Below are 15,905 nucleotides of genomic sequence, written 5' to 3'. Positions count from 1 at the left end.
TGAATCTTTAACACTGCCTCCAGTGTTTCTTTTAAATTGAGGATGAGTAAGACAGCAGTGGACTAAGAATCCATCTCTGGGTCCGTTTCCCATCTCTTGGAGCTTTGAGCTGCCATGTCAGAAGTCCAGCTACTGGGCTGAGAAGGCCATGTGGAGAGCCCCAGAGGAGCCCAGTCTTCCAGGCACCACCCAAGCCACCAGGTACCCTCTAGACCCACACCAGTGGCTAGGTAAGTACCCCTGAATGAGCCCCAACCACAGCCATGTGGAACCGAAAGACCTTCTGATGGAGGTCCACCTACCCAAATTCATATCTAATCAAATGGGCCTGTTTCAAGCCACTGCATTTTGGGATACAATAAATAATTGGAGCTGTATATTGAGCCAGGCTTGTCTAACTCCAAGATCTGCCACCATGAAAAGACTGACTCCTAGAAGATGAGAGACTTGGTTTGACAGCAAGGGAGATGCTCCAAAAAGAAGTTTCGCACAGCCTCATCTTTTGAAAATGAGAAAAGAAAGTCACTCTGCGAGCTCAGGACAATGCTGGAACCTCTATGGCCTGTCTTGGGCTGGCCCAGCACTCCTCGACCCTCTGGACTTGCACACCTGAGCCTTCCTGCACCTGGGGAGTAGGCATGATGCATCTGACAGCGCCACGCCACCCTACCCAAGGCCCGCTTCCTCTCCCCAAGAGGCCTTCTCAGCAACTTAGAGCAGCCTGCGGAACACATTGCAGTAAAGGTCCATGGGCTTCCTGCCTATCAAAAAATACAGCTTTCTGACCAAGGCTTATTATGCGATCTTCCCGGGAGACGTCATTAGTAGCGTGAATGGCTCTTGCCTTGCCGGAAGTGAAGGTGAGGCAGTGACAAGGTCATGTCCAGAGTGAGTAATTATTGACTTTTTGTCCTTGTTCCTTCATGTCCAAATTACATCTATAGTTTGTAATGCTTTTGGTTTATATTCAAAGAAAATGCAAACGCAGAACACAACAGGAAGGGCGCCATGACTCAGATTGCTGTGCCCCTTCCTGTCTGCCCAGCAGCCTGGATGCTGTGGAGCCTTTGTGCAGAGCCCAGAGCTTTTGTCTGAACCATGCGGTGGCAGAGCCACACTGTGACTTCGTGTGTTTGTGCTCTCTGTGTTTGCCAAGCACTTGTGTGTTCTCTCTCTCCACCACCTCACAGTGACTCAGCACTGTCCTTATTTTAACTATAGCTGCTTTCAAACCACTGACATCTGCAAAGCCATAGTGGACAAGGTTTCCCACTCCCATCTCCCCACAGAGCCACAGCCAATCCAGCAGGCCTACCTGCAGTGAGTCCAGACTGCAGGTGTGTTCAGTTTGTTCTGCAAGGTATTTTTAAAAAGGGGGGGTCAAATTACCAACCAGAATTTCACCTAAAAGCAGTGGCAGATGCTGATGTTTACCAAGCTGATGTTTTCCCTGCTTCTTTAATTACAAATCCTGATTTTTAGACAGCGCAGCAATGTGCCCAACTAAAAGACTACATTTCCCAGCCTCCCTTGTGGCAAAGTGAGACCATGTGACTCAGTTTTGGCCAATGAGATGAAAGAAGAAGGTGGCGCAAGGGTTAGGGGGTGGCTTTCATTCTTTCCTCCTTTCTTCTTCCTGCTGCCTGGATAAAAACAAGTGGCCATTTTGAACTCTGAATTGGCCTTGACAGTGGAAGCCACTGGCTGAGAATGGCACAGGAGAGAGAAGAACCTAAGTCCCTGTAGACTCTAAGAAGCCACAAAACCAGCCCTGAACTACCTACCTCCTGACTTCTCCATAAGTAAAAATGCACTTCTTTCTTACTTAAGCCACTGTAATGGTGAAGTTACTGTTATAGGTAGCTAACCTAATCCTGAAACACTGCTTCTCTTGAAAACTCAAAATATCTAGTGATCTGAGCATATGCTCTTTTCTTCTTTATAACAGCTTTATTGACATATAATTCACAGTCCATACAATTCACTGATTTAAAGTGTACCATTGGCCAGGTGCAGTGGCTCAAACCTGTAATCCCAGCACTTTGGGAGGCTGAGGCACAAGGAACACTTGAGTTCAGGAGTTCAAGACCAGCCTGTGCAACATAAGGAGACTCCATCTCTACAAATAACTTAAAAATTAGCTGAGTATAGTGGTGCATGCCCGTGATCCCAGCTGCTTGGGAGGCTGAAGTGGAAGGATCACCTGAGCTAAGAGTTTGAGGCTGCAGTGGGCCATGATCATGCTACTGCACTCCAGCCTGGGTGATAAAGGGGAGACCCTGCCTCAAAAAAATAATAATGATAAATGAAACAAAAATAAGGTGTACCATTCAATGGTTTCTAGTATATTCACTCCTATCCCCACTATATATAGCACCGCTGTCTACTTTCAGAATATTTTCATCAACTCCAGAAAGAAACACTATACCCATGAACTGTCACTCACCAATCCCCCCTAACCACACTCTCACCAGCCCCTGGCAAACACTAATCTACTTTCTGTCTCTATGAATTTGTTTATTCTGGACATTTCATATAAATGGAATCATGCAACGTGTGGTCTTTTGTGCCTGGCTTCTTTCACTTAGCTTCATATTTTCAAGTTTCATCCATGTTGTGTCATGTTTCATGATCCAAGAAGTCTTAAGACTGGGAACAACCCCTACCACAGAGTGCTTTAATGCTGTCTCATTTTGATCCACAGAAGAAAACAGTGAAATGGAGAAAGTACGCACTGTCTTCTCTACTTTACAAAGGAGAAACAGGCTATGCTCAATCGAGTAATTTGCCTAAAGTATCCAGTGCACCCTCCATTCAACAGCCTCCCACCATTCTGCCTCTGAAATGTCTGCTGCACAAAATAATTGGAGATTCACATTTTGTCAAAATCCTCAAGGTCTAGAAAGTTCTAGATCAACAATAAAGTGGTAGATGAGGAGACTTAATCCTTTCCTATGGCCTGTCCCCTCCACAGTCTGCAGGACCTGGAGACAGAAGAGCGGAGGGAGAAGCAGAGCCCGACACACAGACCCCGTGGGGACGCCTGGGTTCTGGTTCACACTGGGCTGTTTGGGAGCTGAGCCAAAAATCCGAGCCAAAATCTCTGTTTTGTTTTGTAGTGCATGGTGGGGAAATGAAAATTTTGGTTCCATCTGAGGTTTGCAAATCAGCATGCATTGTTTTGGGGCATTCAGTTTCATTGAAACCTCGGGAACACAGCAGCTGCCAACCCCACAGCCCCAGGGAGAGCTGTGTCTCGAGGTGGAATCATCTTTTTTGGCAGAGGTGAAGCCTTCTCTGAGTTTTTATAATTTCTGGTTTTTCGCAGGCAGATAAACACCACACACTGAGTCAGAGCCAGGGAACGGTCGCCCGTTTCTAAGGCTGTGGGTGAGCTTGGGAGGGTGGAGATGAGCAGGGACGAAAAGCTGAGGCGCTCCCGCTACTGGGGTGTTCCCAGGACAAGCTGATGGATGGGCATGCTCATCCTTCTCTACGACAGGCACAGAAAATGTGAGCAGAGTGCCCACCGGCTTTCCTTTGGAGGTGGCAGGGGTGAAACGCCCTGCCCGGATTTCTCTGGCAAGTCACTGTGGGGATGAGGGTGGGGGCAATGTTTTGGGTTATTGGTTCACATTGACATTGTAATCCATAATTGTGCCCGTCCTGTTGTCACGAGCATGGGGTAAACCCAAAGTAGGAGGGAGGGAAACAGAAACCATTTTGAGCCTGTTCTTTGAGGAGTCACCTGATCAGCCTGGCTGGGGTAGGAAGGAGAGAGAGGAAACACACTTAGGACTCAGTCCTCAGGGATCTCGCAGTGCTGGTCCTCGGGGACCGTGAGGAGGAGTTGCCCCTTACAGGGGAATCAAAGGAGGCTTCCTGGAGGAGGTACCATCAGGACCAGGTGTGGAAGCGTGGGCGGAAAGTTTCCTTGGGGCATTTCCAGACAGAAGGAAGAGCTTAAACAAAGAAGAGTGGCTGACTTCTATGTGAGAAAGGACAGTGGGAGAGGAATCGGGAAGAAATAACTTTGCAGGAAACCTGAGTGGTGAGTGGTGAATATACATATTAATCAGGAAAATGCAAATGAAGACCAGGGTGAGCTATCTTCTTACACCCAGTAAATTGGCAAAAGGTAAGAAATCTGACATTATCGTGGTTTGGCGAAAACTCCAAACAGCTCACCCACAGTTGGTGGATGTGTCAATTGTTATAAGCACTTTGGGGAACAATGGAGCATTGTCTTGCCAAGTTGAATGTTGCATTCAATTTCATTCCCAGGTGTACACATGCTTTGGGCAATGCATACGAGAATGTTCTTAGCAATTCTCAGCAGCACTTTCCGTAGCTGGAAAGACCGGAAATCACCCAAATGTTTACCAGCAGGTGAGGGGGTACATAAAGCCAGACTTAGTCACACAGTGGAGTGCTATACAGCAGTGAAAAATGAACCAAGTACCGCTCTCCCCAGACAGTTGCTGGGTTGACTTCCACTGGCACAGATTGTGTTGTGGATCCAACCCTAAATCAGTCATGGCCAGAGGGATAGAATGTTCTAATTGCTTGAGCCAGGCAGGGCTCTCTCTTGAGGCTCCACTGAAACCCAAAAGGCTGGGCTGGGGTAAGGGAGGAGTGGATCCCCAAAGAAAATGGGGGTACAGTAGAGGACAATGTTGGTGTCCTTCCCAGACTTCCTCACATCGCTTTTTAACATGTCCTTGTGCCCAGCTACTATGCACTTTAGTGCCTCACTCCTGAGCCCCTGGTCACCTCAGAGAAGACCCTCCCACAGAGCCTAGGTTCCTGTTCTGCACTCCCTGGGGCCTCCTGTGCCAGCCTGAGCTGTGAGGAAGCAGGACCGCTCTGCTTCCTTGCCTCCACGCAGGACAGGCGAGGTGGAATTCATACCTGAGAGCTGGCCCAGGTTCAGGCTTGAGCTAGGACTTTCCCTAAAATCTCATCCAGAGCTTCTTCCCCCTCCTGGTTCTGCTTCCTTCATTCTCTAACGAGATTTCTCCTCCAGGAGAATTTGAACCTTTGACTCGGCGTCTGTCTGTGGGGGAATCCAACCCCGGACAGGTACTATTTTATTAAAAGAGAAATGAATGGAGACTGAGCCACCAACACGACAGATGGCAAGAGGAACAGTGGGGAGAACTGGAGTTTACAAACTTGGATAAACCTCCACACCTCTCTGGACCTCAGCTTCCTCATTCAAAAACAAAAGATGTGATGAGGCAGTTCACAGAAGAGAAGACTATGAATGGCCAGGAAACACTGGGACACGCAGACAGCATCATGAATCATTGAAGGAAGGAATGTAAAACAGGCCAGGCACGGTGGCTTATGCCTGTAATCCCAGCAGTTTGAGAGGCTAAGGCAGGCAGATCGCTTAAGTCCAGGAGTTTGAGGCCAGCCTAGGCAACATGGTAAAACCCTGTCTCTACAAAAAAAAATACAAAAATTAGCTAGGCAGAAGTTGTGTGCATGTGGTCACAGCAACTGAGGAGGCTGAGGTGGGAGGATCACCTGAGCCCAGGAGGTTGAGGCTGCAGTGAGCCAAGCTGTGGTTGAGCCACTGTACTCCAGCCTGGGTGACAGAGTGAAACCCTGTCTCAGGAAAAAAAAAAAGAAGAAAGAAAAGAAAAAAAGCACAACATTTTTCATCTGTCACAGGGCAGGGAACAGAGAGAATGTCATCCCCAACATTGACTGGGTGTGGAGAGAGGCCCCTCTCCTCCTTTATGGATGGGAGTATAAATTGGTACAATCTATTTGGAGGGCAGTTTGCCAGTACCTATAAAAATGTTAAATGGGAAAGCCTTTTGACTCAGCAATTCCACTTCTATGAATTTAACCTGCAGCAAACCTCAAGAATTCAAAGAAGTAGGTACAAATATGTTAATTACAACACTGTTTGTGATAGCAACAACTTGGAAACAACCTAAATATGTTTGAGTTGGGGACTGGTTAAAAATGACAGAAGGTCCCTGGGATGGAATGCTACACAGCCATGAAGAGGAATGTGGTCAGGCTCTGGAACAGGTGAAGAAACTAGCCTATGATATATTACTAAGTGAAAAAAAGCAAATTACAAAGCAGAATGGAGAGTGAAATATCCTTTTGCAAGAAGTGTTTCTGAGCATACATATTACAAATTTGCAAATGTCTAGAAGAACAGTCTGGAAGAACATATACCAAACTGTTTTACCTGTAGTTACTCTTGGGAGTATGGCTGGAATTTTTTTTTCTTTTTTTTCTTTTTTTTCTTTTTTTTACTTGGAGATGGAGTCTCACTCTGCCACCCAGGCTGGAGTGCCGTGGCATGATCTTGGCTCACTGCAAGCTCTGCTTCCCAGGTTCAAGCGATTCTCCTGCCTCAGCCTCCCAAGTGCCTGACACTAAAGGCATGTGCCACCACTCCTGGCTAATTTTTTTTTTTTGTATTTTTAGTAGACATGGGGTTTCACCATGTTGCCCAGGCTGGTCTCAAAATCCTGACCTCAAGGTGATCCACCCGCCTCGGCTTCCCAAAGTGTTGGGATTACAGGCGTGAGCCACCATGCCCGGCTGAAATTTTCTAAAATGGTTTTTGGATTCTCTTGTGTTTGAGTGTTCTTAAGAACAGGTATCACTTCTTTCTCTTTTTTTATTTAAAATTTGTAAATAGGAGTGATTTAGTGCCTACTTATCAGGACTTGGTAAGCATCTGCTACAGGTTACGCTATCCAGCCCTCACCAAAGCCCTGTTGAAGCAGTCATTGCTACAAACCCGTTTTACAAATGAGGAAGCTGAGATCTGGAGAGCTAAATAAGTTGGAAGTTGCAGAGCCAAGATCCAGCGCAGGCAGCCTGATGCCAGGTCTGGACTCTTACCCGGATGCCACCTTACCTCACAAGAGTAAAATGAGGGGTTACCCAACTTTGTTTTTTAGCACCAGAATCCCTTTCTCCAAATAAAATCCCGAACAGAAGCCCCGTTTGTGAAAAGGAGTTTCTCTGGTAGAAGGGAAGCTGAGGAGTGGTTACTCTCCCTTCACAGTGCTCCCCCTGCGCCCACCCAAGGACCCAGGGGGTTCCTAGGGCCCTGGTTTGAGAACCACTCAGCTGGATGTCCTTGAAGGCCCCTCCTGTATTTCTGACATGCCAGGTTTCTAAGCACTTCCATTCAAAGGGGCTGAAAGGGGAGAAAATGAAAATGTGTCACGGGGCTGCTCAGACCCAAGTGAAGAATCGTCATGCTGAATAAAGCCGTGTTAAGTTGCTGCTGACTTAACCTCAGCAAGCAGCTGGATCCATTGCCCCTGAGAGAAAGCTGTGAATGCTCTTTTGACCAAAAATGTAGACCCTCAACATCACAAGCCTGGAATAGCTCTCACTGCATGCACATGCGTGCGCATGCACACACACACACACACACACACACACACACGCACACTTTATTTTGTTTGTCTCTCCCTATTAGAACTGGCAGCAATTTCTGCCTGTTTTGTTCATGGCTGTGCCTCCAACTAGAATAGCTGTGACACATAGTAGATGCTTCAGTACCTGTCGAATGAATGAATGGTGAATGAATGAGTGAACAAACTAAAACAAGTTTGACTAATGTCCTTCAGGCACAAGAAATGGTCCTTAGCCACACTGGCATGGAGACCAGAGAGGAAGGGAGGAGTGAAGAGAGCTCTGAAGTCGTTTCAATCTCCGTGTGGCCGGGAGCTCTTGCCAGCAGGCTCACCTCTAAGCCGACACCACCACTGTCTGGCAACCTCCATCCATGAGCTGCAGCCCCGGCCACCTCTCAGTTCCTGCCTACCACAGTGGTGTGCACCTATGAGTGATGTTGCTACATGGTTTTCAGCCATGCTTTCCTGGAGGTGACATCTCAGGCTAGGAGGGCAGCAGCCTGTCCCCAAGGTTTGAGGGGAAGCCCAGCGGTCAGCTCAGGGGGCCTCAGAAGCAGCCCTTGGAGATAGCCACAGACCCATGAGGTGGGTGACAGGTGCCGTTGAACTGGGACCAGCCAGGCAAGCAGCCGGAGCCATGATAGGTCAGGAGGAAGAGCAGGCATGACCAGGGCTGGCGGGAGGGGAGGAGGCTGCATGGAGGAGGTAGGTCTACACATTGGAGGAGGAAGCAAAGAGGAAGTGGCCACCGGGAGGGAGGAAGAGTACCCTGGAGGAAGAAGGAGGAGTTGGCCGGCCTGTAATCCCAGCACTTTGGGAGGCCAAGGCAGGCGGATCACGAGGTCAAGAGATCGAGACCATCCTGGCCAACATGGTGAAACCCCGTCTCTACTAAAAAATACAAAAAATTAGCTGGGTTGGTGGCGCACGCCTGTGGTCCCAGCTACTCGGGAGGCTGAAGCAGGAGAATCACTTGAATCCGGGAGGTGGAGGTTGCAGTGAGCCGAGATCATGCCACTGCACTCCAGCCTGGCAACAGAGCAAGACTGCATCTCAAAAAAAAAAGAAGGAGGAGTCAGGGCAAGAGTGCCTGCACCTTCCTGAGAAGCATCGGAGCCCAGGGCTGGGGCAGGGAAGGTACCAGATGTGGCTGGAGCATCAAGTAGGGCCAGAAAGTCAGGACGAGCTCAAAAAAGAGGGGACTGTGGAGAAGATGTGGGAGCCAGCTGGAAGTAACTCCCAGGAGTCAAAACTGGAACAGTCCAGCAACACATCCAGGTACATTATACTATTGGGTTTTAGCTCATCAAATAAAATAAATATCCATTAATCCATACTGATATAAATAACTGATTGCATAAGTAAATGGGGAAGAAGGGACCATTTTTCCTTCGAGAGGAGTTCCCTTTAATGAAAGTGGAAGGAACCAGGGAAACAGCAAATCACCATCTGAACACCACAGGAACAACTGCTGCAGGCAAGACCCACCGATGGATGCTCGGACTCGTAGGAGAAAGTTTAAGGAGAAACAAGAGTTGCACAGATGCAAAGCATTTCCCCCAATACCTATCAATTACAAAGGGGAAAATAATAACTTTATAATGGAGAAAGCTGGCAAACACCACTGTAACCAATAGGTCAAGGTCAGTGTTACCAGTAATAAGCCACACTGACATCATGTACTTCCTGATATGATGCACTGAGAATGACACATCATCACTCCTGGGGTAGTTTTTCCAATAATGCATAACCTCAATCTAATTATGAGAAAATATCAGACCCAAATTGAGCAACATATTGCACAATACCTGACCAGGACTGTTCACAGATATCAAGGTCATGAAAGACAAAGAAAGGCCGAGGAACTGACGACTAAAGGCAATGTGAGACCTGGAAATGAGAAAGAACATTGATCAGGGATCAGCAAACTACAGTCTATGGGCCAACTCTGGCCCTCTGCCAGCTCTTGTAAATAAAGTTTTATTGGAATTCAGCCATGCTCATTTGTCTTTCTGTCTTTCTTTCTTTCTTTCTTTTTCTTTCTTTCTTTCTCTTTCATCTTTCTCTTTTTTCTCTTTCCTTTCTTCCTTTTTTCTTTCCTTTCCTTCCTTTCTTTCTTTCTTTCTGACAGAGCCTCACTCTGTCACCTAGGCTGGAGTGCACTGGTGCAATCACAGCTCACTGTAGCCTTGACCTCCCTGGCTCAAGTGATCCTCCTGCCTCAGCGTCACAAGTAAGTAGGACCACAGGTGCACGCCACCACACCCAACTGATTTTTTAAAATTTTGTTTTTGGTAGAGACAAGGTCTCACTATGTTATCCAGGCTGGTATTTACGTATTTTCAGTGGTTGCTTTTGTGTAGCCATATGGCTTGCAAAGCTGGTCCTTTACAGAAAGAGTTTTCTGACTCTTGTATTAGTGAAAAACTGGTGGCAACATAATAAAGTCTATAGTTTATTGAATAGTATTTTAACAATGTTAATTATTAGTTTTGAGGATAGTACCATGGTTCTGTAAGATGTAAACACTAAGTAAAGTGAGTGAAAGGTACATGGAAACTCTCTGTACTATCTTTGCAACTCTTTGGTAAATCCGAAATTATTTCAAAACAAAAATCTTTCTTCAATGAAACAAAAAAATGCCCAGGATGTTTGGGCAGGAGGGATGTGTGAGCAGAAGAGGCCAGGCTCAAAGTGGGCCAAGGTAGTCTGCTGGTGCTGGAAGAGGGGGTCATCTGACTCCGGATGCTTGGATTATAAGAAACAGAAATCCACTCCAGACAACTCAGGGGCACAAGGGGGAAGTTCTTGGAAGCTGAGGGTACAGGCGTAGTCGTACCTCACTGGAGCCTGGACCCACAAACCTGAAACCAGGACAACAGTTGCTTTGTGTAAATGCGTGTTTCTCCCGGTGTATCTCTTTGCGTTTCTTTGTATCTGCCTCTGTGTCTCCCTGTTTCTCTGTGTGTCTCTTTCCTCTCTCTCCTGCCTCTTCTGGTCTTTGTGTCTGTCCCTGTCTTTGTGTCTCCCTGGTCTCTCCTCATCTCTCTCTGTAACTGCCATTTCTCTGGTCTCTTTCTATCTCTGTGTCTCTCTCTAATCTCTGGTGGGCCCCTGTCTCTCTCCTTGTCTTTCCCAGTCTGTCTTCCACCATATTTCACTGTGTGTCTGTCTCTCCCTGGCCCTCTCTATTCCTTTCCCTATCTCCCCATATGTCTTACATCTCTTCTCCTCCCTGTTTAGTCCCTCCCAGTCTGTTTCTTCCTGTGCACACAGTGGCCCACAGCACCCAGGGTGACACTGGGGTCATATTAGCTGTTGGAGGCCTTGGTCATGAAGCACACACCCGCATTTACAGATGCAGAAACTGAGGCTCACTTAGCCCCTTGCTTGTGATGCAACCTACGGGAGGAAGAAAGGAAATGTTCTGATTCCTCCATGAGCCAGATGCGGTGGTTGGAGCCTAATAGATATTTGTAGGACCCCATGGACCGGATCACACAGGTCAAGTCTCAGTGGCTAAAGTGACATCGCCCAAAATCATGCAAGAAGAAAGGGGTGGAGATGATTCCCCATGTCCTTCATGATTTTTTCGACAATATGTCCAGATGACTTAATTTTCTTGCACTTTCTTCTATACACAAGACCCTCCCAATTGCTAGAAAAATAGAACTACTTCTAAACAGGTTATTTCCCTAAGTGCCCAGAGATCTGGGGGGGATGGAAGATGGGGGGCACTCTACTCTCTACAGGAGACAGGAGGGTGCATCCCTCTCTCAACTTTGGGATTTTCCACAAGGATCTGTGGCCAAGCTATTTCAGGAAAGGCTTTCTTCATCGGGCACCAGGGAGGTGAACATGGCTCTGTTTATTTTGCTCTTTCTCTCTTCTTCTCCAAGATGTGTTTGGCAACAGCGTAAGAGCCGTGTAATCCTCCCTCCAGCCCAGCCTCAGCACAGCGTGTCCCTGCGGATGCCAAAGGTCACCAGACGCATGCAGGATAGGTTGAGCTCTGAGCCAGGGCTGGACACAAAACCTCTGGTGACAGCACTGGGGTGACATCACCAGGACAGGTAGGTACCCATCAGACAGCACCAGGCCCGGAAGGGGCCCAGGAAATCTACCTCTGCTGGGGCTCAGCTGCACTCTGTGGGGTCCCAGTTGGCCTGTGAAGGAGGCCAGGGCCCCACACGCCCCATCTGTGCTCCCACTTTCTCTTTATGCTGAGATTCCATGGGAGATTGTTTGAAGAGACAGCTCTGGGGGGAAAGGATGCAAGCAACTCAGTTTCCATCCAAGCACTTCACTCAATGAGGAAGCAGCCCAGGGAGGGGATGCCTTGCCCAGAAGATGGGCCTGGAGGTGGGGTGCATGGGTTGTACATGCTCTCCCACCTGTATGTGTGGACACACATGGGGAAGGCCCTCCATGTGCATCTCATTCCCATTTGACTTGGCCCAGCTGAAGTTGGTTCAGAGCAATTTGCACTCTGCAGAGTGTCTCTCATAGAGACACCAAACTAGGTCAGGGGGTGGGTTAAATGGAACTGGCTCTGTCTGAGGGAGCCCAACAGTGCCTCTTGGGGCCACTCTGAAGTAGACTGGCACCTCCTCCAGCGCCTTGTCTTATCTTTCCAGAATCCAGATCTCCTGGGTCCTGATTTGCTTCCCCACATGCACATGCGGGATAAAACAGTGCCCTATTGGGGCTTAATTTTCCACCACCTCTGACTCAGTGACTTGGACAGAATCCCTACAATGCTTCCCATTCCCTGGATGCTGCTAACTGAGTCCCAAAGCCGTTTTGTGTCCAGAGTCTCATGGATCCTGAAAAAAAGGAGGCGGCGGAAGCAAGAGGTTGATCCTTTATGGAACCCTTCCCTACATCCCAGGCACTCACCCTGCACCCATTGTCTCCATGTTATCCTTGCAACAGCCCCATGAGGGGCTCTGTCTGACCCATCTTCTAGCTGGGAAACTGAGGCTTGAAAAGCCTAGGCTGCTTGTGGATGCTCATGACAGAGTCCTGTGATGCCAACAGCATCTCACTGCTGGGCTTAGTCCATTTTCTGTTGCTTGCAACAGAATACCTGAAACTGGGTAATTTACACAAAATGAAATTTACTTCTTATAACTCTGGAGACTGAGACATCCCAAGTCAGGGGGCACATCTGGTGAGGGCCTTCTTGCTGGTGGGGACTCTGTGGAGTCCCAAGGCTACACAGGGCATCACATGGCGAGGGGGCTGAGCGTGCCCACCCGCCAGCTCAGGTCTCTCTTCCTCTCCTTATAAAGCTGCCAGCTCTCCTCCTGTGATAACCCATTAATCCATTAATTGTTGAATTGGATTGATGATGAATTGATGAATGGATTAATACATTCAAGAGGGCAATCACCTCTTAAAGACTCCACCTTTCAGTATTGCTGCTCTGGGGATGGCGCATGAACTCTGGGGGATGTATTCAAACTATGGCACTGCCCAGGTCCCTGGACGCATGGTCCATGACTCTGCCTTCACTGCGTTTAACTCTGGACTTCCCCAGGGGCAGCTTGGGCAACAACCAGAAGGTGCTGGGATTAGGAGATTGAGATGCAGGCCCCGGCCTGGCTTTGAAGTTTCTTATCTTCCAGACCCTGGACAAGTTCTGCAGCCTCTCAGACCTTCAGTTTCTTCATCTAGAAAATGGGATGACAGTGCCCACTTCTCAGGTTGTTGGAAAAATAAGCCCACATACATAAGGTACCAGACACAGACATCAGCCCTGGCCCCAGTGTCATTGTTGAGGTTAGTCATTGGTCACTGTCCTCAAAGACTGTGCCTGATGAGAGGCAGGCCCAGTGCCACCCAGCTGAACCTGGCAGTAGGGCCGGAGGTAGCTGCTCTCCTTACGCAGTCACCCACCGAGGCACTATCTGGGGTAGCAGCCAGTGTTGCAGCAGGAAAAAGCCTGCCTGCCACGGTAACTGCAGGGAGTTCAGTGAAGGATCCCTTGGTGTGCACCATCAAGGGAAACCAGCAAGACTCAGCCTGGCAGAGAGAGGGCTGGAGAAACACTCCCACCTCGGTGCATCCTGCCTTCCCTCCTCCCATCAGAGGGCTGAGGGGTCTGTTCAAGCCAGTCCTGGCACAGGGACTGGGACAGAGCCTGCATCTGGGGGTGCAACCGGTGAGGGGGGCACAGAGGCCCAGTGTGTGCAACAGCCTTCCCTCACCCCCTCCTGGCTTTGCGGTCCTCAACTTCCCTGCCACACTGGAGCAGGTGGTGTGCCCAGCTGTCAACACAGTGGGCTTGTTTTTCTCCGCTGCGGCCCACCTCCTTCCCCTAGGCCCCCACTTCCAGTCTGCAATGTTAATTGAAGGCGGCAGATGCCAAATTGCCCTCGGAGCAGAGCGCAGAGGGAGAGGAGGAAGTGTGTCTGGGCCCCACGGCGGGCAGATCGGGCGCACAGGCAGAGCGGTGGTGGGGAGGGCTTCCTGCCCACCACCACCCACAGCAGCTGCAAACATCCTCCAGACCTCTCGCCGTTTCCCCATGAATACACCTGAGGTCGAGTGTGAACATAAGGAAGTTGATTTTTCCCGGTTATATTTTTTAAACCTATGTTTGGACGGCCTGGCTTTCTATTCTGGGCACTTGAGCCTTATTTTCCGGCTGCTTCTGAAAAGTAATCAAAGGACGGCCACCAGACCAGCCAGGCACCTGCCCTCCACACCTGCCTGCAGACCCAGGCTCCTCCGTGCATTTTCTCCCTCACCCTCCTGCTGGGTGGGAATTACTGGCTCCATTTCACTGGTGAGGAGTTGGAGGTTTGGGAAACTGCAGGATCTGTCCATGCAGACGGCAGATGGAAAATCTGGCATTTCATCCTGGACCTGGCCGGACCCAAGTGCTTGCTATTTGACCCTCAAAACCCACCAACCCTTGGCCCTCCTCCCCTCTGTCCAGACCTCCTTCGGGAGCCTGCGGCAGAGCGGGAGGGGGCGTCTGCAGATATGTTCATACTTAGGGATTCATAGCCCAAGCCCCTAACCTGAGCCACACGGCCTTCTTCCAGGACCCCAGGCCTCCCCACAACCCATCAGGGAGAGGTGGGCTCAGACTGTTCTCTATGAGGCCAGCTGGTGACTATTCTAAACACCAGCCTTGTGTTCCCTAGTCTGCAAGAAGCTCTGCAAATTTTTGTGGCCGTTGGTCATCTGCTTTCTTGATCTTTTCTTTTCTTTTTTTAAGAGAGGCAAGTCTTTCTCTGTTACCCAGGCTAGAGTGCAGTGGCACAGTCACAGCCCACTGCAGCTTCAGCCTCCCAGGCTCAAGTGATCCTTTTGTCTCAGCCTCAGCCTCCCAGTAGCTGGGACTACAGGTGCATGACAGCGCACCCACCTAATTTTTCAAATTTTTTTTGGAGATGGAATATTGCTGTGTTACCTAGGCTCGTCTTGAACCCCTGGGATCAAGTGATTCTCCCGCCTCGGCCTCCCAAAGTGTCGGGATTTCAGGCATGAGATTTCTTTAAATTGAAGTAAAATCCACACACTATAAAACTAACAGTTTTAGAGTGAACAATTTCACGGCATTTAGTACATTCTCAGTGCTGTGCAGTCATCACCTCTATCTAGCTCCCGAGCACTTTCATCCCCTGACAGGAACTCCATTCCCATGAGCTGTCACTCCCCACTCCTCCCTTCCTCCGGCCCCAGGCACCCAGCAGTCTGCTTCCTGTCTCTGTTGGTTTACCTATTCTGGATATTTCATATAAGTGGAATTGTATGTGATTTCTTGTGACTGCCATCCTCCCTCTGCATAGTGTTTTCAAGGTCCACTTGTCTTGTACCTTTTTGTGGCTGAATAATATCCCATCGTACAGGTATATCGTACCTCCGTGAGGACCTACAGGGCATCTGACACCTTATGTATGTAGGCTTAGTTTTCCCAACCACCCAAGAACTGGGCACTGTCGTTTGCATTTTTTAGATGAAGAGACTGAGGGTCCGAGAGGCTGCAGAACTTGTCCAGGGTCTGGAAGGTAAGAAGTGTCCAAGCTTGGATCCACATCTGCAGTTGTTACCACTCATCTGTGGATGCACAATTGGGCTGCTTTCACCTTTTGGCTGTTATGAATACTGCTGCTGTAAACACTTATGTATAAGTTTTTGTTCAAATACATGTTTTCTTTTTTTTTTTGAGATGGAGTCTTTCTCTGTTGCCCAGGCTGGAGTGCAGTGGCGCGATCTCGGCTCACTGCAAGCTCCACCTCCTGGGTTCACGCCATTCTCCTGCCTCAGCCTCCTGAGTAGCTGGGACTACAGGCGCCTGCCACCACGCCCAGCTAATTTTTTGTATTTTTAGTAGAGACGGGGTTTCACCGTGTTAGCCAGGATGGTCTCGATCTCCTGACCTCGTGATCTGCCTGCCTCGGCCTCCCAAAGTGCTGGGATTACAGGCGTGAGCCACCATGCCCGGCCACCTGTTTTCAATTCTTTTGTGTAGACACCTCGGAG

General features: G+C 48.9%; 5 annotated features.

Annotated features, from left to right (window-relative positions):
* Positions 1,123–1,267: an enhancer, noted in NCBI's record as "145 bp enhancer 126 fragment used in the MPRA reporter construct; PK_construct_3855". NCBI's record gives its function as "activates an SV40 promoter by MPRA in HepG2 cells {active_cell/tissue: HepG2}" and the evidence as "EXISTENCE:reporter gene assay evidence [ECO:0000049][PMID:23512712]".
* Positions 1,190–1,200: a transcriptional cis regulatory region, noted in NCBI's record as "NFE2L2 motif; enhancer activity is reduced when this motif is scrambled". NCBI's record gives its function as "necessary for full MPRA enhancer 126 activity {active_cell/tissue: HepG2}" and the evidence as "EXISTENCE:site-directed mutagenesis evidence [ECO:0005528][PMID:23512712]".
* Positions 5,129–5,423: a silencer, noted in NCBI's record as "tiled region #14253; HepG2 Repressive non-DNase unmatched - State 23:Low, and K562 Repressive non-DNase unmatched - State 22:ReprW". NCBI's record gives its function as "represses a minimal TATA promoter and a strong SV40 promoter by Sharpr-MPRA in HepG2 and K562 cells {active_cell/tissue: HepG2 | K562}" and the evidence as "EXISTENCE:reporter gene assay evidence [ECO:0000049][PMID:27701403]".
* Positions 13,357–13,909: an enhancer, noted in NCBI's record as "H3K4me1 hESC enhancer chr17:17307223-17307775 (GRCh37/hg19 assembly coordinates)". NCBI's record gives its function as "activates a minimal SCP1, AML or CMV promoter by ChIP-STARR-seq in primed H9 embryonic stem cells {active_cell/tissue: H9 hESC(primed)}" and the evidence as "EXISTENCE:reporter gene assay evidence [ECO:0000049][PMID:30033119]".
* Positions 13,910–14,464: an enhancer, noted in NCBI's record as "H3K4me1 hESC enhancer chr17:17306668-17307222 (GRCh37/hg19 assembly coordinates)". NCBI's record gives its function as "activates a minimal SCP1, AML or CMV promoter by ChIP-STARR-seq in primed H9 embryonic stem cells {active_cell/tissue: H9 hESC(primed)}" and the evidence as "EXISTENCE:reporter gene assay evidence [ECO:0000049][PMID:30033119]".

The sequence above is a fragment of the Homo sapiens genome, chromosome 17 (assembly GCF_000001405.40).
Source record: "Homo sapiens chromosome 17, GRCh38.p14 Primary Assembly".
Classification (NCBI taxonomy): Eukaryota; Metazoa; Chordata; class Mammalia; order Primates; family Hominidae; genus Homo; species Homo sapiens.
This window is presented reverse-complemented; position numbering and strand designations above follow the sequence as displayed.